The sequence below is a fragment of the Homo sapiens genome, chromosome 4, assembly GCF_000001405.40.
Source record: "Homo sapiens chromosome 4, GRCh38.p14 Primary Assembly".
Lineage (NCBI taxonomy): Eukaryota > Metazoa > Chordata > Mammalia > Primates > Hominidae > Homo > Homo sapiens.
Window position 1 is genome coordinate 139131896 of NC_000004.12, and position 25903 is coordinate 139157798.

Below are 25903 nucleotides of genomic sequence, written 5' to 3' on the forward strand. Positions count from 1 at the left end.
GAGCTATATACTGGCATGGAAAAATATCCATGATACAAACAAGAGGGGGTGGAAGGAGGAGGAAAATGAGCCATAGAATAGTACTGTTGTCTGATTCCATTTATATATTTATTTAGCATATACATTTAAAAGTCTGGAAAAAATACACCTCAAATTATTAACCTGGTGAAAGAGAGGTGAGCAGACAAAAGATGGATTTTCATTTTCTCAGTATGTCTGAGTTTATTGTTTTTTACAATGATCCTGGTAATTAAGAAATATCAAAATACTTTTTTCATTTAAAAATAACAATTGGTACAAAAACCAAAAAAATAAAATAAATAAAGCCAGTAACAGGTAATTTGACAACTTTAAAAAGGAATCCATTTGCAAAATATAAAACTTGTGGAAGAATATGCCTCACCAGATGAAAATCTTTTTATTTTTCTTATGAATTTTCACAAATGTAAACATCCCTGTAACTACCATCACAGTCAAGAAATAGAACATTTCCATCACCCCAGAAAGTTCCCTCATACCTAACTTTACCCGTCAATCCCCACCACATGTGCATGCACACACACACATACACGCAGACCTAGGCAACCACTGATCTATCCCTATAGATTTCTATCCCTATAGATCTGCCTTTTCTCAAATTTTACATTGAAATCAACAGTTCTCTTTTGTGTCCAACTTCTTTACTGCTGATATTTATACATATTGCTGCATGTATCAATACTTCATCTCCCTTCATTGCTGAAAATTCTATTGTAGATATGTCAATTGCTTATCCATTTGCCTGTCTTCATATGGCGGTAATGCTCCTATGAACATCCTGGTCTTTCCTCCCCTTCCTTTCCGTTCCATTACATATTTACCTAAGAGTCAAATTATCAGATCACATGGCAATTGTACATTTAATTTTGCAAGTACTCAATTTTCCAAAGTGGTTATATTACTTTACATATATATATATATATATATATATATATATATAAAATATGTAATTTTTTTTTTTGGTGGGGGTGAGGGAGAGACGAAGTCTTGCTCTGTCCCCAGGCTGGAGTGCAGTGGCGCAATCTCTGCTCACTGTAAGCTCCGCCTCCCCCAATCTCGGCTCACTGCAAGCTCAGCCTCCCGGGTTCACTCCACTCCTGCCTCACCCTCCCAAGTAGCTGGGACTACAGGCACCCGCCACCATGCCCGGCTAATTTTTTGTATTTTTAGTACAGACGGGGTTTCACTGCGATAGCCAGGATGTTCTCAATCTCCTGACCTCGTGATCCGCCCGCCTCGGCTTCCGAAAATGCTGGGATTACAGGCGTGAGCCACCACGCCCAGCCTACATTCTTATAAGCAATAAGGATAAGGAGAGGTTTAGCTGCTCCTTATCCTTTCCAACATGTGGTATCACTCTCATCAATTTTCCTCATTCTGTTTATTTAGTAGGATCGCCTTGTGGTTTTAATTTACATTTCCCTGATAGTTAATAATATTGAGCATTTTTACATGTATTTAACGTTCCATTGATCTACATGTCTGTTGGCACACCAATAACCACACTGCCTCAATTAGTGCAGCTTTATAGAAAGTCTTTAAATCAGATGTGTAAGGCCTTCAACTCTGTTCTTAACCACAGTATGTCTTCCAATCCATAAACTTGGTACATCTCTCTATTCAGGTCTTTAATGTGTCTCAACAGTATTTATAGTTCACTGTATAGAAGTCTTTTATATATTTCATTAAACTTTTCCCTACCTTTTTTTTTTTTTTTAAGATACGGGGTTCACTATGTTGCCTGAGCTGCACCTGAACTCCTGGGCTCAAGTAAGCCCCTCACCTCAGCCTTTAGTGTAGCTGGGACTATATGCACGTGCCAGTGCACCCACCTGCTTTTTGATGCTCTATTGAATAGTACTGCTTCAGTTTCCAATTGTATATTGCTAGTATATATAAATAATTGCTTTGTATACACTCACCTCATATCCTCTGGCTATTCTAAATTTATTAGTTCTAATAGTGTGGATTTCTTAGGCATTTCTAGGTACACAGTTATATCATCTAGAAATAAAGACAGTTTTACTACTTCTCAAACGTGTGAGTCTTTTATTTTTCTTGCTGCCTTGTAGTAATGTTGCCAGTGCAATGTTGAATAAAGGTGGTTAGGGCAGACAACCTTGCCTTGCTCTCAACCATTAAGTATGATGTTGGCTGTGGGTTTTTCACAGATTCACTTTACCAGGCTGAGAAAATTGCCCTTTATTGCTAGTTTAGAAAGTTTGTATAATGAATAGGTGTTAATTTTTGGCAAATGGGTTTTCTGTAACTGCTGATATAATCACCTAATTTTTCTCTTTCACTCCTGTTGATATGGTGAATCACTTGATTCATTAAACTTACCTTCCTGGGATTAAAAAAAAAATTGATTATGGCATTCTACCATTTATACACTGCTAGATTTGACTGTTAGTTTTTTGGTTTTGCTTTTTTGTGTTTTCATTGTTTTTGTTTGTTTGTCACCCAGGCTGGAGTGCAGTGGCACCATTATGGCTCACTGCAACCTCTACCTCCCAGGCTCAAGCAATCCTCCCACTTCAGCCTCCCAAGTACCTGGGACTCCAGGTGCATGCTACCATGCCTGGCTAGTATTTATTGTATTGTATTGTATTGTATTGTTTTATTTTATGTTATTTTATTTTATGTTATATTTATTTTATTTTATTTTATTTTATTTTATTTTATTTATTTTATTTTATTTTATTTTATTTTGAGACAGGGTTTTGCCATGGTGCCCAGGCTGGTCTTGAAGTCCTGAGCTCAAGAAATCCACCTGCCTTAGTCTCCCCAATATAGAAATGGGGGTCTCCTGGGTGGCTTAGGCTGGTCTTGAACTCCTGTCCTCAAGTGATCATCCTGCCTTGGCCTCCCAAAGTGTAGGGGTTACAGGTATGAGCCACCACACTAGGCCCAATACTTCTCTTAGTATTAAATTATTCCTATATATTTAAGTCATATTTGGTACTTTGAATTTTTAAATATATGACTACATTTTATATATTTATTACTATTTTGAAAAATAATTTTTGCAACTATACTCATTATAGTTTACTATTTTGGGACATCATTTTCAGAAATAGAATAATCCTAATTGTATTAAATGTATTACTTTTATAATCAGGGGAAACATTACAAAGAAAGCCTAAAAATAGTGATAATAAAACTCCAGATACCTACCACTTTTTAAATATTTATTTTTTCTTCAGGTTCTGGGACTCTGATTACAAAATTTTGACAGGTCAGTTTTCATCCCATTCTACATTTTAGAATATATATTCTATTATACATATACTACTATATATATGTGTGTGTGTGTGTGTGTGTGTGTGTGTGTGTGTGTGTGTGTATATATGAATGAAACATTCCTGAAAAACTGCTCCTAAGACAAAAATCTATCTTTCAAATACCACCATTCTCAAATCTCCCTTTGTAAAATCAAACCATGTTTCCAGTATTAGTGGCTTTTCTCTCTTCCTGCAATTCTCTTCCCCTAGATATTTATATTGCCCCACCCCTCACCTCATTTAGCTCTAAACTAAAATGTCACCACTTTGGTGAAGCCTTCCTTGGCTGCCCTAATTGAAGTACTCCCTACTAACTTCTCTATCCAGCTCCAGTCCTGAATTATTTTTCATAACATTTCTGAAATATTTATCCCCAGTGCCTAGAAAAGTACTTCATAGATAGTTAAGTGGTGAATTAATATTAGTCAAAGGAAAAAATGAATGAAAATAAGTGGCCACTTACGTAGCATAAACAAAAAACTCCCCAGAATAGTTTGCCCTACTCTGGGGCCACACTACCTGACATGCTCATTAAGGATATAGTCTTCTTCTGACTTCCTTTATAAAATGTGATCACCCTATAAGACTACCACATAAATCACTAGTCAATAATAATTTGGTAAAGTCATTTCATTTATGAGATTCTTTCTTCCACGATAATAAGTTCTCCTGGCCGTGAACACTGAAGTTCCATGTAAAGGAAGAAAAATATAAGGAGTATTCCAGAAACAAACTGTTGTCCTCATTTTCCCCATATTAATGATACCTTTTAATCCACACAAGGTAAAGATATTCTGCCTATTGTTTTTGGTGGCTCCCCTCATAAGGTTAAAACAGAGCAAAACTATATGGCAGGAGAAAGCATTTGAGGAAAAAGCAGTATTTGGTCTGGGTAATCTAGGAGGGGATGGCAGTTCCCCAATCCCTAATGTCTTCGGTGAGTCATTCCTGGAGGTGATCATACAGAAAGTGAATCTTGAGGGAAGAAATAAGACATTGACGATGGGAAGAAAGTATGTTCTGCAGCTGTGGCTTCTCTTAATGGACTTTGTACCTGTTTTGGATTTGAATACAAAAGAAACACTTAAGAGTTTTTGAGTCCACTGAGAAAAGAAAAAGAAGACCTTCACTTTATCCTATTCCCAGTGAATTTGCCCATAGCTGATCCGGATCTTAGAAAAATGAGCAGACACCAAGGAGCAAAAAAAAAAGAATCCAGACTACAGAACGCACAGACTGATGTCCTAACTTGTTTCTCAAACATGCCATTATACCGTTATACTGGTAGGAAGCACGAGTAATGCAGCATCTTTCAAAGAAAATAGAGAAAACAGATTTTTTTTTAATATAGAAAACTCTCCATTTTCCCACCTCAGCTCTGAACAAATATTGTCCATTATTATGACGGCTATTGAATTATAATTAGATCCCTTCCAATATTCACTCTTTTTTTTTTTTTTTTTTGAGACGGAGTCTCGCTCTGTCGCACAGGCTGGAGTGCAGTGGCATGATCTCGGCTCACTGCAAGCTCCGCCTCTCGGGTTCACACCATTCTCCTGCCTCAGCCTCCCGAGTAGCTGGGACTACAGGCGCCCGCCACCACGCCTGGCTAATTTTTTTGTATTTTTAGTAGAGGCAGGGTTTCGCCATGTTAGCCAGGATGGTCTCAAATGCCTGACCTGGTGATCCGCCCACCTGGGCCTCCCAAAGTGCTGGGATTACAGGCGTGAGCCACCGCGACTGGCCCCAATATTCACTCTTTACTGAATGCTAAGAACAGAAGCCAGGACCTAGAAGCCCCGGTATTTCTACTACTGTTATTTTTTTATTCTCATCTAATTCTTCAATGTTATCAATAACAAAATAACCAAATATGCTAATGATTCAAAATCCTACACGCATAAAATTTCAAAATCTGAATTCATTTTCTGACTTACTAATTATCTAAATTCGTGTTTAAATGAGATTAAAATACAATGGATCTCCACACCGATTTAGATATAAAATAATCAAGAAACAAAGATAATAAGTAAAGCACATACAAAATTCTAACTTAGAATGAATCTAATTTAGGTATTTGGGCATAGTATATACCTACAGTATAATCCAAGACAATGGGTTTTATGAGGGATTTAAATTTAACTCTCAACTAATACTATAGTGTTCTTTCCATTCCTTTCCTCCCTCCAAGTTCATTCTAATATATGTATGTTCCAACAATTCACGTAAGCCCTGCAATACCTTCCTTGACCTTCTATTACCTAAATTATATAAGGATACACGACATGTACATGTATAATTTCATGCTTTGTACATTTTTACTCTCAAATATGTTTCCTATTAATTTCAAAATTAGTTCATGCACAAATTTCTATGAAGAAAATAGAAATGTAATTCATTGAATGCCTAACCTCTTGATTTTCTACTCCATTGCTGGAAAGCTCCAAAATAGTACCTCCACTGTCAACCACTGCTGATGTCATTGTTATTCCCTGAGGAAGCTTCAAACGCTATTAATCAATGAAATTAAAGGTTCACTGATGGTTGCCAGTGTTATAGGTTTGCATTATCATGTTTTAAAAGTCAATAGAGATGGAGTGGAGTAGATATCCAGAAATCCAGTCTTCTAAAGATGATTAACCAGAAAGCCTAAAAAGAGGAAGAATTTGAAAAGTTATTTTAAAAATTACAGGAAGGACATAAATAAAGCATAACTTATTGTGCAATCTAATTTTAACACTTAACTAAGAAAAAGAAGACAGGCTTAACATCCCCGTGTCAAAAGAGGGCAGTAATGAACATTCTGCTTCTTAAGAGTTAGTAATCAAGTTCATGAACATACTGAATTAAGTTCTTAACAAGCAATTGTACATAGGTAGTATTATGATATTCATATTCTAGGAGATAAATATAACTGTGCCAGGTGCGGTGGCTCACGCCTGTATATTCCAGCACTTTGGGAGGCCGAGGCAGGCGGATCACGAGGTCAAGAGATCGAGACCACCCTGGCCAACATGGTGAAACCCCACCTTTACTAAAAATACAAAAATTAGCTGGGCATGGTGAAGCGTGCCTGTAGTCCCAGCTACTCGGGAGGCTGAGGCAGGAGAATCACTTGAACCCAGGAGGTGGAGGTTGCAGTAAGCCAAGATGGCGCCACTGCACTCCAGCCTGGCGACAGAGTGAGATTCCACCTCAAAAAAAAAAAAAAGTTATAACTTTCTCCCTTTATAAAGATGCTGTTTTATTCCTGAAATATGTTAGTTTCTATAAATGTTAAAGATCTCTTATTCATTTAATATATAAAATGTGCCAGACTGAGAAAACTTTTAAAACTATTTGCCTATTTAACAAATCAAAAGATTATTGATCCTTAAATATTTCATTCTTCTTCTTTGCCTCATCTGGTTTGTCTGAACAATCAGAACTGTCTTTTGCTTATGGCAGCAATCTCATTTTGTATTCACACTTTGAATACAGGAACTGTATGTAAGAGAGATTTATTTGAATTGCTTATATTTTCAAATAAAGTAGTTTAAAAATAAAGTAGTTACCACTTGGAATGCCTTCAATATTATTTTATCATACTTTCCTCAATTTTTTGATATTAGTTCTATCATACTTTCCTCAATTGTTTTGATATTAGTTCAAGATGCAATATAGCAAATGGTTTCAAGTAATTTCTTAACCTCTCACATTTTTTCCCCTTCCTATATGATCTGAATTTATGAATTAAATTACTCCTAAAAAATTTTTTTGATTTCATGTATACAAAAATTTTCATACAGAGGAAGTACAGAGATTTATTACTAACAGAATTTTTTCATGTCAAAAAGAATGCAGAAAAATCAAGCATATCTGAAGAGAAAGTATATAGTTCCCATAAATCATTCCATTAATATTATGCCCTTGTATTATGTTTGCCTGCTGGCAATATACAGATATGGAAATAAAATAATAAAGAATTTCCAGAAACTTCTAGAATAGAATGAAATACCTGAAAAAAAGCAGAAATTTCATCTTACTGATCAGTACTATTAGCCTCCCTTTTGATCTTATAAACATAAAATGGAACAGAAAGTCTTTGTATCTTAAGAAGAAAAAATAATAAAATTCCACAGTCCCATCATACTATCACCATATAAGGTACTATTCCCAATATATATAATAATAGCAGAAATAAATTTTACTTACAGTTTGTATGTTAAGTAGTCTAAGCATCCTTCACTATTTTCACAACTTGGGAAGAGCTAAAATCTGAACCAGTAGTTCTTTGGAACTGCCAGCGGGAGGGGAAAAAAGATAATATTAATATAATTATATTAAAAAGCACTATGCTCAAACAGATGTGATTGAGATAGTAAATACTTAATAAAACAAATCACTTCCAAAGCCATATGTCGCACATTCACATAAGGAATATAATAAATTATTTCTAGGTTTTTGAGAAATCAGAAGTTTTTATCAAACTTAAAATTTTAATTCACCACTACATAACAAATATTGAGTGAGGACAGAATCAACGTATGAAGCCTATGCTCCATATTATGGGCTGCATTTCAAACAGGTTCTTTTTTTTTTCTCCATTGGGCAAGTTCTAATAACAGGTTCTTAGTAAGTGGCTACAGGTATAACCCCTGCTCCCCAGGAGTATAAAATCAAGTTTGAAAAATAGGACTAGCCCAAAAAACTACTATAAAACAATGTTTAAGGAAAAAAAATTTTTTAGAGTTGGGGTCTCACTCTTGTCACCAAGGCTGGATCGCAGTGGTGAGATCACGGCTCACTGCAGCCTCAAATTCCTGGGCTCAAGCTATCCTTCTGCCTCAACCTCCTGAGGAGCTGGGACTATAGGCATATGCCACCATGCTCAGGTCAGTATTTCTTACTTTTTACTTTTATTTTTAAATATAAGATATTGCTATGTTACCCAGTCTGATCTGGAACTCCTGGCCTCAGGTGATTCTGCCACCTCAGCCTCCTGAGTCACTATTAGACATGTTCCTGCTATGTCACCCCACCAACTTAGCATCAGCACCCATCCAAACATCCCAAGCCCTACTTCTAACTCCCAAGCCTCCTCAAATAGTCCGCCTTCTTTCAAAGGCTAATGTATTGACTTAAGCACTTGATCGTAGGCCTTGTTCCATCAATTATTCCCTTTTTCCTTAACCTTCTCATACTACCATTGGACTTCTTTCCCTCAACATATAAGCATTTGCAAGATCCTCTCATCTTAAAAGTAGAAAAGTTGGCTGGGCAAGGTGGCTCAGGCCTGTAATCCCAACACTTTGGGAGAGGAAGGCAGAAGATCACTTGAGCCCAGGAGCTCCACACCAGCCTGGCCAACATAGGGAAACCCCTGTCTCTACAAAAAATAAAAAACTTAGCTGGGCCTGGTAGTGCAAACCTGTAGTCCCAGCTACTTGGTAGGCTGAGGTGGGAGGACCGCTTGAGCCCAGGAGGTTGAGGCCACAGTGAGCTGTGATCCTGCCACTGCACTCAAGCCTGGGTGACAGAGCAAGACCCTGTCTCAAAAAAAAAAAAAAAGGAAAAGTCCTCTTCCATTATCCTGCATACCCTTCCAGCTACTGCTCCAGTTCCTTCCTTTCTCAGGTAAGTTTCTAGATAAGAAATCTTTTATATTTTATACTCTTGTCTCCACTTTCTAATTTCTCAAGCACTCCTCCTTCTATCAAAGTTTGGCATCCATCCCCACTCAACTGAAACTTTTACTAAATTCTGCTTGTAGAATCCAATGGATACATTTCTGTCTTCATAGGACTTGCTGCCTCTGAAGCATCTGACACTGTTAATCACTCCCTTCTTGAAACTCTACCTTGAATTTATCTTTTCCCTCTCTGGCTACTCCCTTTCAATTCCCCCTTGCAGGCTCAACCCTCATTTTCAAGGGGCCTGGGACAAGAATACAAATGGAAGCCTACATACCATGTGTCTAAATATTTTTAAAAGTTCTAAATCAAGCTGTTAAATTATTATTCCATCCTTCTATCTTGACTAATAATAACCTGAAAGGCCAAGTTCTATTTTTGAGTTCTCAGGTTCCCTTCATGTTACGTAGGGACATAGGAAGGAAAATCCATACCCCTTCCCCTTGTCTGCAGCCAACTCCTTTTCTCTTCCCACTTTTAGCTCCACTTTATACGAAGGACTTCATATGCACACATATATAAAGCCTACAGGTCCAAGCTCTGGTCACATGACTGCAAACAGCTGCTCCTTGGCCATCCCTTAAACACAGGGGATCCCATATGTGTTGTACAGTCAAGAGAGGAAAGAATCAGAGAAGACAGTTGTGAAGGGACACATGGGCAGGAAATTCTAGGATCAAATATTCAAAGACTGATCTAGAAAGAGACCAGGTAGACTAGTCTAGTCACCTTGGCCCCCCACAAAGTCTTCACTCTATGGGTAGGGTTGTAGCTGCTGGAGGAAGGCCATATGAGGACCTTTAAAGCACAGGTCTTTTGTTGCCAGTTGGTGAAGTCTTAGGACAGTGCTGCTCTCTGGTCAACCCTTACAGGCGGGTGTTTCCAGGATCCCATCCCTAGTCCTTTTCTCTTCAGATTCTTTACACTCTTTCTAAGCTATGAAATCTACTCCTACAGCTTCACTCAACTCTCTCTTCCAGATTTGTCTACTAGATGTTTTATTGCCTCTACTTCATTGAAATTAGATAAGGTATACATAAATACTAAGCACTGATGCCAGGATAACCCAAGCACTCCATTCATTAATTCAATCACACAAACACTAAATGAGCACTATTATATGATAGCACAATTTTAGGTGCCCGGGTCCAGTAGTGAATAAAGGCAAAGTCCCTGTTTTTATGGATCTTACACTGCAGAGGAGAGAGAAAAAAATAAAATAGTACACCATACCTGTAGATGGTGATGAAGGCTAAGGAGTTAAATTAACCAAAGAGATAGGGATTATTTGGCAGGGAGAGCTGCCAATTCAGATTGAGTGGTCAGATAAGGACTCACTAAAAAAGTGACATATGAGTAAAAACCCAAAAGTAGAAGTGAGTTGTGGCAATGCCTGGCACAAGAGCCTTCTAGTCAAAAGAAATTCAACACCCTCAAGAGGATGTATGCCTGACTAGTTAAAGGACCGGCAAGGGGACCCAATACAGCTGAAGTGAAGTGAGCAAGAGGAAGAAAGAATAGTTGAAGAAGAGGACAGAAAGGTAAGGGAAGGGAGCCAAGTAGGTCCCCTGTAAGGACTTTGACTTCAGAGAGAAGAAAGGTTTTACACAAAAAGATGATCTGATTATTATAAGGATCATTCAGATGCTGGGTTGAGAACAGACAAGGGGACAACAGCAGAAACGGGGGTCAGTTAGCAGGCTGCAATAATATATGTTGTGCAAAAGTAATTGCAGTTTTGCCATTACTTTTAATGTAATGCAAACTACTTTTGCACAAACCCATAATGAGATGAGAAGTGATACAGGCTGGGACCAGAGTGGTAGTTCTGGAGGTAGTGAAAAAGTGATCATAGCCAAGCATGATGGCACACCCCTTTGTCCCAGCTACTCGGGACGCTGGGCAGGTTGAAGCTGCAGTGATCCAAGATCTCTCTACTGCACTCCAGTTTGGGCGACAGAGTGAGACCTTGTCTCAAAAAAAAAAAAAAGTGATCAATCTTTAGATGTATTTTGCAGATAAAAGGATGACATTTGCAAGCAAAATTGATGTGGATTGACTGCTATGAGAGAAAGAAAGAAGTCAAGAATGAATCCAGGCTGGAGGATTCTCAGATGATGGAGTAGGATGCACCAGGAATCTGTATCCCTATCTAGACAATTGCACTGGCAGAATCTACCTAATGTAACTATTTTGGAACCCTGGCTAAAGGCTTACAACCTCCAAGGGAAGGCTTGAACAATAAACTGTGGTTAATTTCGGTCATTCTAGCTCTCAGCACAGTATCAGCTACCACCCATCCCCCAACTCGAGGGTAGACAGCTGTGCATGTGTTCCTGGAACAGTCTGCATGCAACTTGTGAGGGCCATGGTAAGCAAAAAGGACTATTTTCCAAATATCAGAGATCTGTGCTCTGATCACTGATTATTGCTTCTGATCACAGAGGAGCACACAAAGAAATGAGTAGATATTATTGTTATGCCTCCCTTCACTGTTGCAAGCTTCTCCCCCTCTGGCTGAAGTCACTTCTAGGGGACTTAAAAGGCCAGCAAACCCCATTTTACTCTTTTTCCCCTTTTGAGAGCCACACATTAAAGACCAGGACATTTGGCTGGGCACAGTGGCTCACATCTGTAATCCCTGCACTTTGGGAGGCCAAGGTGGGCCAAGATCACTTGAGGTTAGGAGTTCAAGGCCAGCCTGGCCAACACAGTGAAACCCCGTCTCTACTAAAAATACAAAAAATAGCCCAGCGTGGTGGCAGGCGCCTGTAATCCCAGTTACTCGGGAGGCTGAGGCAGGAGCTCGAGCTCGGGAGGCGGAGGTTGCAGTGAGCCAAGATCGAGCCACTGCAATCCAGCCCGGGCAACAGAGCAAGACTCTGCCTCAAAATAAAAAATAAACTAAAATAAAGACTAGAACATTCAAAAACTATATATATGAAAAAATGTGGAAAGTGACCACACATGCCCAGGCTCAGAAAAGACCTGAGAAGACCTTAAATACACCTTAGCCTGATCCTTGCCACAAAATCAGCCTACAAAAATTTAAATTTTAATTAAAAAAAAAATTCCCACCCTCCTCAAGATGGCAGATTGGAGGTAGTATTGGCATGCCTCTTCCACTTGGAAAGAAAAAATAGTGGGTAAAGACTCAAACTGTGAACTTTTTTCAAAGAAGCAATGCAGGAACTTAATGGAAAAACGGAAACCACAGATCCTTTGAAAGAAGGGGCAGGCTGCAGTCTACACCATGAGCCAGGTAAAAAACTGTAAGTCCCCAGAGTGTGAGAGGGAGAGAGATTACCTCCAGAGTATACACCCCCACTATGAAAACTAGAAATCCGGCCCACAGAGGAAGGCCTTAACCCCACCCAGTGCTAAAACTAATATAGGGAGCAGTGGAGAATATACAAGAAGCACCAGGGGCGGGAAGAGCCTTGTGCGTATTCCCGGTCTCCAACGCAAACCAAGGGAAGCTATTCCTGATTCTGTGTCACAGGAGAGTTCACAAAGTTCTGCCAACCAACTGAGGCAGTGGTTGCAGGTTGAAAGAAGCTCCCAATTTGAAATTCAAAATATAATCTCAAGTGGGGATGAACTGCCTTGGCTGAACTGGGCGGATGACTGGGAAGTAAGCTGTAACCACAGACACAGAAGTTGGGTGCTCTGGCATTGCCAGTGGATGAAAAGGGGCGTGGCCTGAAAGCTGAGGTTCCTGTATGTAAACAGCTTGGAATTTAGCTAGCTGCTGCTAGTGAACACTCTGAGTGAGAGACTTGCCTTGCCAAGTGTGTAGGAGCTGGATGAGACTTACTCCCACCTGCTACTCCCCACTCCCTGCATGAACTCTTCTGTGAAGCAGAGGCAGCTAAGCTTTTTCCTGGAACATTACCCCAGTGGCCAGGGAATGGCTCCAAAAGCCCAACATGGATCTGTGCTTACACCACACATGCAGAGCCAAAGAGCAGGCCTGCCTGACCAAGCCCCCCACCTGGCTTTGACCCTCCACCTGCCCTGGTAGGTTAACACAAAAGACAGAAACTTTGGGGAGCCCTATGGCCTCACCCATCATCTGATAAACCAAAATACCTCCCATGGGTAACATAAGACAAGCACATATCCCACCACTTCAACCACAGCTGGCACTCTTTTGCAAGCACCACCTCCTGGCTGGAGGCCAACAGACACAGTTTACTACAGCAACTACAGGTAAAATAACATTGCACCCAAGAAGGAGAAAACTTATGCATGACCCAGTTATCAGCACTGTCTGCAGTACCCTGGCTAACCAGGATGTCCTGAGTCTGTCCACATGACCAGTTTATTAATACTACAACCAGCATTTAAGAAAGCCAACGCACTACGGCTATTTACAACCAAGGAATCTCACAACGTATGTCATTCCCCTGTTACCCCTATGAGAGCTGGTGCTGGTACACATTGCTGGGAGACTTGAGGACAGATAACATCACTGGATCCCTTGCAGACATTCCCCAGAATCAGCCTGGAATGTGGTAACCCCACTGGGCAGCTAGACCCAGAGGAGCAGCAGTACTCACAGTAGTCTGGCTCTCAGGGACTCCTACTCCTAGGGCAAGGGGGACAGCACCACATCAAGGAAGCAACCTGTTCTTCTTCATTCTATGAAGTCAGTATCACCCTGATACCAAAGCCAGGAAAGGATGTAACAAAAAGAAAGAAAACTACAGACCAATATCCCTGATGAACATAGATGTAAAAATCCTCAACAAAATACTAGCTAACCAAATCAAATGGCACATCAAAAAGATAATACACCATGATCAAGTGGGTTTAATCCCAGGAATGCAGGGATGGTTTAACATATGCAAGTCAACAAATGTGATATATCACATAAACAATTAAAAACAAAAACCACATGATTGTTTCAATAGATGCAGAAAAAACATTCAATAAAATCAAGTATCCCTTTATGATAAAAACACCCAAAAAACAAGGCACAGAAGGGAATTATCTCAAAATAATAAAAGTCATATACGACAAAGCATACTGAATGGGAAAAAGTTGCAAGCATTCCCCCTGAGAACTGGAATAAGACAAGGATGCTCACTTTAATCACTTCTTTTCAACATAGTACTTTAAGTCCTGGCCAGAGCAATCAGGCATGAGAAAGAAATAAAGGGCATCCAAATTGGAAAACAGGAAGTCAAACTATCGCTGTTTGCTGATGATATGATCGTATACCTACAAAATGCTGAAGATTCCTCCAAAGACTATTAGATTTGATAAGTGAATTTAGTAAAATCTTAGGTTACAAAGTCAATGAACACAAATCCAGTAGCACTGCTATACAACAACGACCAAGCTGAGAATCAAATTAAGAACTCAATCCATTTTATAACAGCTGCAAAAATATATATAAAATACCTAGGAATATACTTAACCAAGGGGGTGAAAGATCTCTACAAGAAGAACTACAAACACTGATGAAAGAAACCATAGATAACACAAACAAATGGAAACACATCCCATGCTCATGGATTGGAAGAATCAATATCATGAAAATGACCATACCATCTAAAGCAATCTACAGATTCAATACAAATCTGATCAAAACAGCAACATCCTTTTTCACAGATTTAGAGAAAGAAAATCCTAAAATTCCTATGAAACCAAAAAAGAGGCTGAATAGCCAAAGCAATCCTAAACAAAAACAACAAATCTGAAGGCATCACATTATTGGACTTCAAATTATACCAGGCTATAGTTAACAAAACAGCATGGTACTGGTATAAAAATAGACACATTGACCAATGGAACAGATTAAAGAATCCAGAAATAAAACCAAATATCCACAACCAACTCTCTTCAACAAAGCATGAAAAACATAAATTGGGGAAAGGACACCCTATTTATTTAATAAATGGTGCTGAGAAAACTGGCTAGCCACAAGTAGAAAAATGAAACTGGATCCCTGTCTCTCATCTTATACAAACATCAACTCAAGATAGATCAAAGATTTAAATATAAGACCTAAAACCATAAAAGTCCTAGAAGATAACCTAGAAAAAAATTCTTCTGGACATTGGCCTAGGCAAAGAATTCATGACTAAGACCCCAAAAGCAAATGCAACTAAAACAAAAATAAATAAATGGGACCTAATTAAACTAAAAGGCTTCTGTACAGCAAAAAATAATAATCAGCATCATCATCAGAGTAAAGAGACAACCCACAGAATGGGAGAAAATATTCGCCAACTATGCATCCAACAAAGGACCAACGTCCAGAATCCACAGGGAGCTCAAACAAATCAGCAAGAAAAAAAATAATCTCATGAAAAAGTGGGAAAATGACATGAACAAACATTTCTCAAAAGAAGATATACAACTGGCCAACACATAAATGAAAAAGTGCTCAATATCACTAATCATTCAGGGAAATGCAAATTAAAACCACAATGACACACCATCTTACTCCTGCAAGAATGGCCATTATTAAGACAAAAGACAATAGATATTGGCATGGACTTGGTGAAAAGGGAACACTTATGCACTGCTAGTGGAAATGTAAATTAGTGCAACCTCTATGCAAAACAGTATGGAGATTTTTTTTTGTTAAGACAGTGTCTCACTCTGTCGCCTAGGCTGGAGAGCAGTGGCGCGATCTCGGCTCACGGCAACCTCCTTCCCCTGGCTTCAAGCCATTCTCTTGCCTCAGCCTCCCAAGTAGCTGGGATTACAGGCACCTGCCACTGCGCCCAGCTAATTTTTTTTTGTATTTTTAGTAGAGACGGGGTTTCACCATCTTGACCAGGCTGGTCTTGAACTCCTGACCTCATGAGTTACCTGCCTCGGCCTCCCAAAGTGCTGGGATTACAGGCGTCAGCCACGGCACCCAGCCAGAGATTTTTTTTTTTTTTTTTTTTTTCCTGAGATGGAGTTTCACTCTTGTTGCCCAGGCTGGAGTGCAATGGCACGATCTCGGCTCACCGCAACCTCCGCCTCCCAGGTTCAAGCGATTCTCCTGTCTCAGCCTCCCGAGTAGCTGGGATTACAGGCATGCGCCACCAGGCCCAGCTAATTTTGTATTTTTAGTAGAGACAGGGTTTCTCCATGTTGATCAGGCTGGTCGCAAACTCTTGACTTCAGGTGATCCGCCTGCCTCAGCCTCCCAAAATGCAGGGATTACAGGCATGAGCCACCGTGCCCAGCCAAGACCCTGTACCTTAAAAAAAAAAAAAAATTAATGTACTTTCTATCTCCAGAGAGCTGTCTGTTCTGGCCATTTCATATGAATATAATTATATAATATGTGATTTTTTTGGGGGGGTGGGGAGACAAGGCTGCCCACTGCAGCCTTGACCTCCTGGGCTCAAGTGATCCTCCTACCTCAGGGCCTCTACAGTAGCTAGGACTACAGACAGGTGAAGTCATACCTGGCTAATTTTTTTTTTTTTTTTTTTTTTTTTTTTTTTGTAGAGACAGGGCTTCATTATGTTGCCCAGGCTGATCTCAAATTCCTGGGCTCAAGTGAACACCTGGGCTCCTCCTGCCTTGGCCTCCCAAAGTGCTGTGATTGCAGGCCTGAGCCATCATACCCAGCCTACTATGTGGTCTTTTGTGACTGGCTTCTTTCACTTACAATAAAGTTTTCAAGGTTCCTTTCATTTACATGTAACATCTGTTAGTATTTAATTTCTTTTTATTGCTGAGTAATATCCTATTGTATAGACATATCACATTTCTCTATTCATCCACCGATGCACATTTGAGATGTTTCTACTTTTTTTTTTTTACCATTGTGAATGCTATTCTGAAAATTCATGTACAAGACATATGTTCTATATGAATGTTTTCATTTCTTTCGCATATATAGCCAGGAGAAGAAGTGCTAGAACACAGTAACTGTATGTTTAACATTTTGAGGAAATGACAAGCTTTTCCAAAGTGGCTACACCATTTCACATTCCTACCAGCAGCATTTGAAGATACCCAGTTCTTCATATCCTCACCAACAAAATGTTTAGGTAATTTGTTATGCAGCAATAGGTAACTAATACATCATTTTGGTAGATGCGGTACAAATGTCTTCATAAAATTCAACATCCTTTTAAAATTTAAGAAAAAAATTCAACCAAGACTCAAAAACAAGATATTTTAAACTTTCTCCCAGTATTGAGAACAAACACATTTACCTACAATTACCACCTTAATTCAACACTTGTACTGACAATCCTAACCAATTCGGTAAGAAAAGCAAATAAACGGCATAGGAATTGGAAAGGAAGAAATGATGTATCACGTAAAATATACTCATAGGAAATTTAAAATAGTCTTCAGATATTAGAAGAAAAAAGAGGGTTTGCTAAGTCTCTGGACATAAATCAATAGATGAAAATCAGCTGTTTTTCTATAGGCCAGCAACAGAGTATAATTTTTTAAAAGAATATCATTTATCTCTGGGCATGGTGGCTCACGCCTGTAATCCCATCACTTTGGGATGCCGAGGCAGGTGGATTGTGAGGTCAGGAGTTTGAGACCAGCCTGGCCAACATGGTGAAACCCCACCTCCACTAAAAATACAAAAATGCTATAGCTAGGCGTGGTGGCATGAGCTTGTGGTCCCAGCTACTTGAGAGGCTGAGGCAGGCAAATCACTTGAATCCAGGAGGCAGAGGTTGCAGTGAGCCAAGATTGCACCACTGCACTCCAGCCTGGGCGACAGAGCAAGACTCCGTCTCAAAAAAATACAAATAAAAATAAAAAACTAAACAGTGTCATTTACCATAACCATAAAAACTACAAACCTAAGAATAAATCTAACCGAAAGGGTGTATATGATTTTTATAAAGAAAATCATAAAATTCCTTGAAAAAAATTCTACATGGGCAAATACCATGTTCATAGGTAGGTATACTCACTGTCTTAAGGATGTCAATTCTCACCAAATTAATCTATCAAAAAATTCAATGTATTTCCAGTTAAAAATCCCAAGAGGGTTTTAGAAAAATCTTGACAAAGATAGTAAACAATCTATGTGGGTCAGGCACAGTAGCTCACACCTCTAGTCACAGCACTTACGAAGGCCGAGGTGGGTGGATCATTTCAGGCCAGGAGCTTGAGCCCAGTCTGGGCAACATGGTGAAACCCCATCTCTATAAAAAATATAAAAATTAGCTGGGCGTGGCCAGGCACAGTGGCTCACGCCTGTAATCCCAATACTTTGGGAGGCCGAAGCAGGTGGCTCACCTGAGGTCAGGCATTCGAGACCAGCCTGGCCAACATGGCAAAACCCCTAAAAATACTAATAAAAATACAAAATGTCTCTACTAAAAATACAAAAAATTAGCCCAGCATGGTGGCAGGTGCCTGTAATCCCAGCTACTCAGGAGGCTGAGGCAAGAGAATTGCTTGAACCCGGGTGGCAGAGGTTGCAGTAAGCCGAGATCACACCACTGCATTCCAGCCTGGGCAACAACAGCAAAACTGCATCTCAAAAAAAAAAAAAATTAGCTGGGCATGGTGGTGCACACCTGTAGTCCCGGCTGAGGTGGGAGAACCACTTGAGCCCAGGAGATTGAGGCTGCAGTAAGCCGTGATCACACCAGTGTAGTCCTCCCTGGGTGACAGAGTGAGACCCTGTCTCAAAAAAAAAAAAAAAAAAAATATGTGAATGAGCAAAGGGCAAAAGTCAGCCAAGACCCTCCTCAAGAACTGCTGTAGTCTATACTAACTAGGCAATAAGGTAATGGTGTAGATATACTCAAATATACCAATGGAACACAATATAGAGGCCAGAAAAAGACCCATGCAAATTGAAAACTTAATACAGGAAAGAGGTAAATTAAAATCAATGAAAAAGAGAGCTAGCTGGGTGTGGTGGCTCATGCCTGTAATCCCAGCACTTTGGGAGGCTGAGGCGTGTGGATCACAAGGTCAGGAGATTGAGACCATCCTCGCTAACACGGTGAAACCCGTCTCTACTAAATAAAACACAAAAAAATTAGCCGGGCTTGGTGGCGGGCGCCTGTAGTCCCAGCTACTCAGGAGACTGAGGCAGGAGAATGGCGTGAACCCGGGAGGCGAGCTTGCAGTGAGCCGAGATCGCACCACTGCACTCCAGCTTAGGTGACGGAACGAGGCTCCATCTCAAAAAAAAAAAAGAAAGAAAGAAAGAAAGAAAGAAAGAAAGAAAGAAAGAAAGAAAGAAAGAAAGAAAGAAAAAGAGAGCTATTTAATAAATTGTGCTGGTACAAATGATCAGCCATACAAGATTTAAAATTTTTAATTACTGCCTCTCATCAATCACAAAATAAATTACAGATACAGAAGAGACCTAAATATATGAAATATTCCTAAAAATCAGAAGAAAATATAGAATATCTTCATGAACTCACAATTAAGAAAAAATTATTAGATGAGACACCGAAAGCAAAAAGCAAAGAATTAGTTTTGACTATATCAAAACTGTTTAAATTTTATTGTTTGGTTTATAACAACATAAACCAAAACAAGGCTGAAAATCAAGAGACTGGCAAAAGTTATTTGCCTCTCCCACCCCCAAAAAGGTGGGGATTGGGGGATTCCTACTAATTAATAAGAAACATAGGCAATGCAAATTCTGTTTTATATTAAGGCCCACATGGGTAAATCTGATGCGAGTTCTTGTCAAGGTTCTAGTTCTCACGCAGAATGATGGATTCATATGTGTTTGTTATATTATTAAAAATAGGCAACTGCCATCCTTGAGCTATTATTTGTGTCATGAATCAAGGATTTAAAAGTACCTAATTTTATATAACTAGGGTCCAAAGAGGAGGTTAAAAAGGGTACTGATTTTATTAATTTCCCACCCAATATGTGAAAACTGATCACGTGAATAGGTTCTTCAAAGTTTGTCATGAAAACTGAATAGTTTGTCATAAAAATATGAAAATTAAATACTATTTACTAACCCTTTGACAAATTCTCTTTTTATAATTTTCCAACAGGTTGTCCTTTTTTCTGATTTAACTGCTTCTTAATACAAGTCCTAATTTGTGAGCAAGCTGTATCAGCATGAGGGTCAATTATCTTACTTGCTATTACACCAATCATATCTGAAACACCTAACAGATCAGAAACAGAAAGGGTGACTCTATTTATATGACATTCAAGAAAAGATAAAATTATAGAAATAGAAAATAAATCAGTTGGAAGGATTTAATCTCAAAAGGGTACAAGGAAACTCTCTGGGGTGAAAGAAATATTGTATTATCTTCATTGTGGTGGTGACTGCAAAATAGTATAAATTTGCCACTCATAAAAATATAAGAGTGAATTTTACTACATGTAAATTAAACTTCAGTAAACTTGACTTTAAAAAGGACAATGTACAAAATTAGAATTAAGGAGACATCTGTATTCAAATATTAACAGTATTATCGTGACACTGAATGAGAAGAATTGTAATTTGTAGTCTACACCATTTTTTTTTTTTTGAAATGGGATCTCACTCTGTTGCCCAGGCTGGAATGCAATGGCTCAATCACGGCTCACTGCAGCCTTAACCTCCCAAGCTCAAGTGATCCTCCCACCTCTGCACAAGTAGCTGGGACCACAGGCATACACCACCATGCCCAGCTAATTTTTTTTATTCTATAGAGATGGGGTCTCCCTATGTTGCCCAGGTTGGTCTTGAACTCCTGGGCCCAAACAATTCTCCTGCCTCAGCCAGCCAAAGTGCTGGGATTACAGGTGTGAGCCACCAGGCAGAGCCTTGTAATTTACACTTATGTATAGTTTAATTCACAGCTGGTTCCTGCCTACAGGATCAATGAAAAAGCTCCATTACCCTTAGTCATTTAACTGATGAAATTAAATATTTTTAATAATGAAATCAATGCTTTAAGTACTTCTAATTCACATTTTAGTTGTCCTGTTTCCCTTTTGAAATTATCAAGTCCAACAGGAATTTTATATATATATATATAGTTGTAATATTAATATAAATACAGCATCAATAACAATAGTGTCATACTTTTTTTTTTTTTTTTTTTTTTGAGACAGAGTCTTGGTCTGTCGCCCAGGCTGAAGTGCAGTGGTGCAATCTCTGCTCACTGCCATTCTCCTGCCTCAAAAGTCTCATACATTTTTGTAGTTATTGAAACAAGCAGTTTTGTGCATTCTTTCCATCCTTACAACAGCCCTGTAAAATAGGCATAATTATCCCCTTTATTACATAAAGACTATTTTGACAATACTCTATATACTATGAAAGGATAATAAAATGAGAAGAAAAGGCCAGGCACAGTGGCTCACGCCTGTAATCCCAGCACTTTAGGAGGTCAAGGAAGGCAGATTGCTTGACCCCAAGAATTCAAGGCCAGCGTGGGCAACATGGGGAGACCCCATCTCTACTAAAAATACAAAAATTAGTCAGACACGGTGGCACACGTCTGTAGTCCCAGCTACTCAGGAGGCTGAGGTGGGAGGATCGCTTGAGCCTGGGAGGCAGAGGTTGCTGTGAGCTGAGATTGTGCCACTGCACTCCAGCCTGAGTAACAGAGGGAGACCCTGTCTCAAAAAATAAAAATAAATAAATAAATAAATAAATAAAGGGAAAAAAATCTTGGGACCTCCAAACTCACTATCCCAAAGGGAAAAGTTAAGCTTAGAAACTGAGTCACGCAAAACTGCCTCCCACTTTGTTCCTAAATAGATAGCTGCAAAGATAAAAGGCCAGATACCTCACCAGGGGGCCTCTTTCACAATTTGCTCACAGGTAAATGCCTTCTGGGCCCAAGATCTTTACCCTAAAACAGAATTCTGTTTAATTTCACCCTGACAATATAAATTAAAAGCTTATCTTCACAGGTACAGGACAAACACAAGACTAGAAGTCATTCCTCCACTCACCCAAAACAAAGGCATACTTGACTGATTCCTCTGTTTACTTTATCTTATGTAAAATGCAGATTCATAGAGTGCCAGAAGAATGCATAGTTGACTTTCAGTCTACCCCCTCCTTTTCACATGCAACATGTGGATTTAGTGAGCTCACAGGAATGTGACCATACTCTCCCCCTCTTTATTTTTTCTTTCCCCTTTCCCTACTGTCCCCTTTTTCCCCTTTAAAGGTTGAAGCCCTCAAAACCCTCTTTGGAAAAAGCACATGTCACAGCTGTTCTGTGATTTTTGTGTTCCTTTTGCCTGGGTACATCCTCAACCTTGGCAAAATAAACCTCTAAATTCAAACTTGCCTCAGTCATTTTCTTTGTGTTACAATACTGAAGAGCTAGTATGATTTAAGAGTTAAAAGTCTATCGGCCACTGTATCTTCAGAACACAATAGGTGCTCAATAAATATTTTTTATGTTTTGGCTTTAATGCTGAGTAATTACCTGATGTTGGGCAGTTACTTAATCTCCTTTAACTTAAATTTTCTTATCCATAAGATAGTATAAAACAACTCTGAGAAGTAGACGTATCTAGTTCTTTTCATTCTTTACATAAACTACCTGACACACTATAAGCATTAAATGAATGTCATTTGATCTGTTATTATCTTTTTAATAATACAAGACCCTAAGATATTAGTTGTGAAAGGGAAAATAAATCTCAGGACCTCCAAATCACTAAGCCAAAAGGAAAAACTAAGCTGGCAACTGTGTCAGGCAAACTTGCCTCCCATTTTATTCCCAAATAAGATAGCTACAACAATTAAAAAAAAAAAAAAGCTACATACTTCCCTCACAATTTGCCTACTAGGAAATTCCTTGTGGGCCTCAAGATCTTTACACTAAAATGGTTATGTTGAACTTTACCCTGATAATGTATTTTGATAGCTTATCTTCATGAGTGCAGGACAAAAGAGTTCTAAGTCATCCCTCTGCTAACCTGACACCAATGCACATGTGACTTTTCCTCTGATGTAAAAATGCAGATTCGCTGAGCTAGACAAGGCTTAAGTGGCTATTCCTCTACTCCCCTCTCACAGGTATATTGTGTATTCAGTGAAAGGCTGATCAAAGACTCAAAAGAATACAACTGCTTGTCTCTTATCTACCCACACCTTTTAAAAATTTCTTCCTCTTTCCCCTTCAAATATTGAAGCTCTCAAAATCATCTTCGGAGAAAGGCACAAACCTACCTCCCAGATGTGCATCCTTCATCTGGGCAAAATAAACTTTCTAAATTGATTGAGACCTGTCTCAGATACTTCTTGGTTCACATGGTATAGGGGCAGCATCAGAGCTGTATTACACTGCTAAAGCTTCAGATGAGAATATAGTACCAGATGTGGTGGCACACCCATGCAGTCTCAGCTACTACAGATACTGAGGCAGGAGGATTGCTTGAGTCCAGGAGTTCTAAGCTGTAGTTCACTACGCCAATCATATATCAACACAAAGTTCACCATCAGTATGGTGACCTCCAAGGAGAGGGGGATCACCAGGTCGCCTAAGAAGAGGTAAACCAGCTCAGGTCAGAAACTGAGCAGGTCAAAACTCTTATGCTGATCAGTAGTGGAATCATGCCTCAGAACAGCCCTTGCACTCCAGCCTGAGCAATTCAGCAAGTCCCCATCTCGGAAAACAATAATTAAGAAGGCCAGGATGGTGTATCACACCTGTAGGGCCAAGACTTTGGGGAGGCCAAGGCAAGAGGATCACTTGAGTCCAGGAGTTCGAGACTAACCTGGACAACATAGTGAGACTGCATCTCTACAAATAATAATAATAAATAATAATAATGAAAAAGATAAAAGCAATATAATCTAATTACAACTCATGAAAAATTTAGATGTCATTCTTATTTGTTAAGACAAACATTAACACAGCATTTTACAAGGATAGAAAGTAAACTAATGAATTGTTTAAAGAAAGAATTCGCTTTTGAAAATGAGAATGAGGTCGTTTTGAGGAAAACCAAGTGTAAGGACTATATAGTTTTTAACAATTTAGGCTCATAAGCCAGAACTGAAGATAAATAATTTTGGCAACAAGCACTCATATCATGAGACTTACTTTAGGAATAAATAATTAATCCAGATGTTTAAAAATGATGCTAGAAATTAACAGGATAAGAAAAGTTGCAAGAAAGCTCTTTAATCTGGAAGAGAACTTACAGCTCATTTTACAAGAAAAAATTGAAGAGGCTAATTGGAAAGTGATATAACTTGCCAATCATAAAAATAACTTTTCATTTCAAGAGTCTCATACCATAACTAACAATATCTCAAAATCCTTATTTACTCATGGCCTTGACACTGAGTTATCCAGTTAACATGTTATTAATTTTATACATATATTCTTTTTTTTTTGGCGGGGGAGTCGTCGGGGGACGGAGTCTCGCTCTGTTGCTCAGGCTGGAGTGCAGTGGCGCGATCTCAGCTCACCGCAAGCTCCGCCTCCCGGGTTCACGCCATTCTCCTGCCTCAGCCTCCCGAGTAGCTGGGACTACAGGCACCCGCCACCATGCCTGGCTAATTTTGTTTTTGTATTTTTAGTAGAGACTGGGTTTCACCGTGTTAGCCAGGATGGTCTCAATCTCCTGACCTCGTGATCCACCCACCTTGGCCTCCCAAAGTGCTGGGATTACAGGCGTTAGCCACCATGCCCGGCCAAACTTATACATATATTCTTGTGTGGTATACACATGGTCTCATACCATGACTAATAACAGCTTAAATATTCACGGCCTTGACACTGAGTAATCCAATTAACATACATGTTCATTCATAGATATATATATATATATTTGTTGTTTTGTTGTTGTTGTTGTTGTTGTTGCTGTTGTTGTTAAAGACAGAGTCTCACTCCATCACCCAGGCTGGAGTGCAGTGGTGCCATCTCAGCTCACTGCAACCTCCACCTCACGTGTTAAAGCAATTCTGCCTCAGCTTCCCAAGTAGCTGGGATTACAGGCACATACCATGCCCAGCTAATTTTTGTATTTTTAGTAGAGATGGGGTTTCACCATGTTGGCCAGGCTGGTCTCGAACTCCTGACCTCAAATGATCCACCCTCTTCAGCCTCCCAAAGCGCTGGGATTTCAGGCATGAGCCACCACACCCAGCCTTAATCTTACACATATATTCTTATGTACTATACACATACAGTGATGCATTGCTTAATGGCAGAAATATATCCTAAGAAAGGCATCCTTAGGTCCTTAGGCAATTTTGGACATAAGGATTTTGTCATTGTGCAAACCTTATAGAGCGTACTTACACAGACATAGATGGTGTAGCCTGCCTACACACCTAGGCTACACAATATGGCTTATTGCTCCCAGTCTCCAAACCTGTACAGCATGTTACTATACTGAATACTATAGACAACTCTAACACAATGGAAAGTATTTGTGTATCTAAACATATTTGAATATAGAAAAGGTACAGTAAAACTAAGGTATTATAATCTTACAGGACTACTGTTGTGTATCTGATCCATCACTGACTAAAATATCATTAATCTCTCTCTCTTATACACACACACGGAGGTAAGAAATGAACTTAGATAACTTGTGACATCATCAAAATTCTGTATAATTTTTTTTTTTTATACTGGGTCTCACTCTGTCAACCAGGCTGGAGTGCAGTGGCATCACATTACAGCTCACTGCAGCCTCAACCTCCTGGGCTCAAGCAATCCTCCTGCCTCAGGCTCCTGAGTAGCTAGGACTATAGGCACATGCCACCAAACCCAACTAAGGTTTTTTTCATTTTTTGCAGAGATAGGGTCTCATTTGTTGCCCAGGCAGGTCTGAAACTCCTGGCTTCAAGCAATCCTCCCATCTCAGCCTCCCAAAGTGCTGGAATTACAGGCATGAGCCACAGTACCCAGGGCTTTGGAGATATTTTGATGCTTCCTTTATCAGGCACGTTTTGACACTTCTAGAAATCTTCAACCAAAGAACTAGACTAGTCAGGTTCCCAGGCAT

The 25903-nt window shown here is 39.4% G+C and overlaps 1 protein-coding gene across 17 annotated transcripts in view, besides 3 other annotated features; it reads right to left on the minus strand.

Moving 5' to 3' along the window:
* Window positions 1-25903, minus strand: part of ELF2 (E74 like ETS transcription factor 2) — a 120696-nt gene that overhangs the window by 74676 nt on the left and 20117 nt on the right. For 15 of the 17 annotated variants that reach the window (XM_047449740.1, XM_047449741.1, XM_047449737.1 and 12 more), the window contains 2 exons: window positions 7518-7602; window positions 5735-5972 (listed from right to left, as the gene is read on the minus strand). In XM_047449740.1, coding sequence (XP_047305696.1) covers window positions 5735-5806 — 72 coding nt within the window. In that variant the 5' untranslated portion in view covers window positions 5807-5972; window positions 7518-7602. Of the gene's footprint in view, window positions 1-5734; window positions 5973-7517; window positions 7603-9429; window positions 16216-25903 lie in introns of those variants that run through there. The other 2 variants (XM_047449739.1, XM_047449732.1) reach the window with 1 other exon arrangement.
* Window positions 20099-20682: an enhancer, noted in NCBI's record as "H3K27ac hESC enhancer chr4:140073148-140073731 (GRCh37/hg19 assembly coordinates)". NCBI's record gives its function as "activates a minimal SCP1, AML or CMV promoter by ChIP-STARR-seq in primed H9 embryonic stem cells {active_cell/tissue: H9 hESC(primed)}" and the evidence as "EXISTENCE:reporter gene assay evidence [ECO:0000049][PMID:30033119]".
* Window positions 23014-23596: an enhancer, noted in NCBI's record as "NANOG-H3K27ac-H3K4me1 hESC enhancer chr4:140076063-140076645 (GRCh37/hg19 assembly coordinates)". NCBI's record gives its function as "activates a minimal SCP1, AML or CMV promoter by ChIP-STARR-seq in naive H9 embryonic stem cells {active_cell/tissue: H9 hESC(naive)}" and the evidence as "EXISTENCE:reporter gene assay evidence [ECO:0000049][PMID:30033119]".
* Window positions 23597-24179: an enhancer, noted in NCBI's record as "H3K27ac-H3K4me1 hESC enhancer chr4:140076646-140077228 (GRCh37/hg19 assembly coordinates)". NCBI's record gives its function as "activates a minimal SCP1, AML or CMV promoter by ChIP-STARR-seq in naive H9 embryonic stem cells {active_cell/tissue: H9 hESC(naive)}" and the evidence as "EXISTENCE:reporter gene assay evidence [ECO:0000049][PMID:30033119]".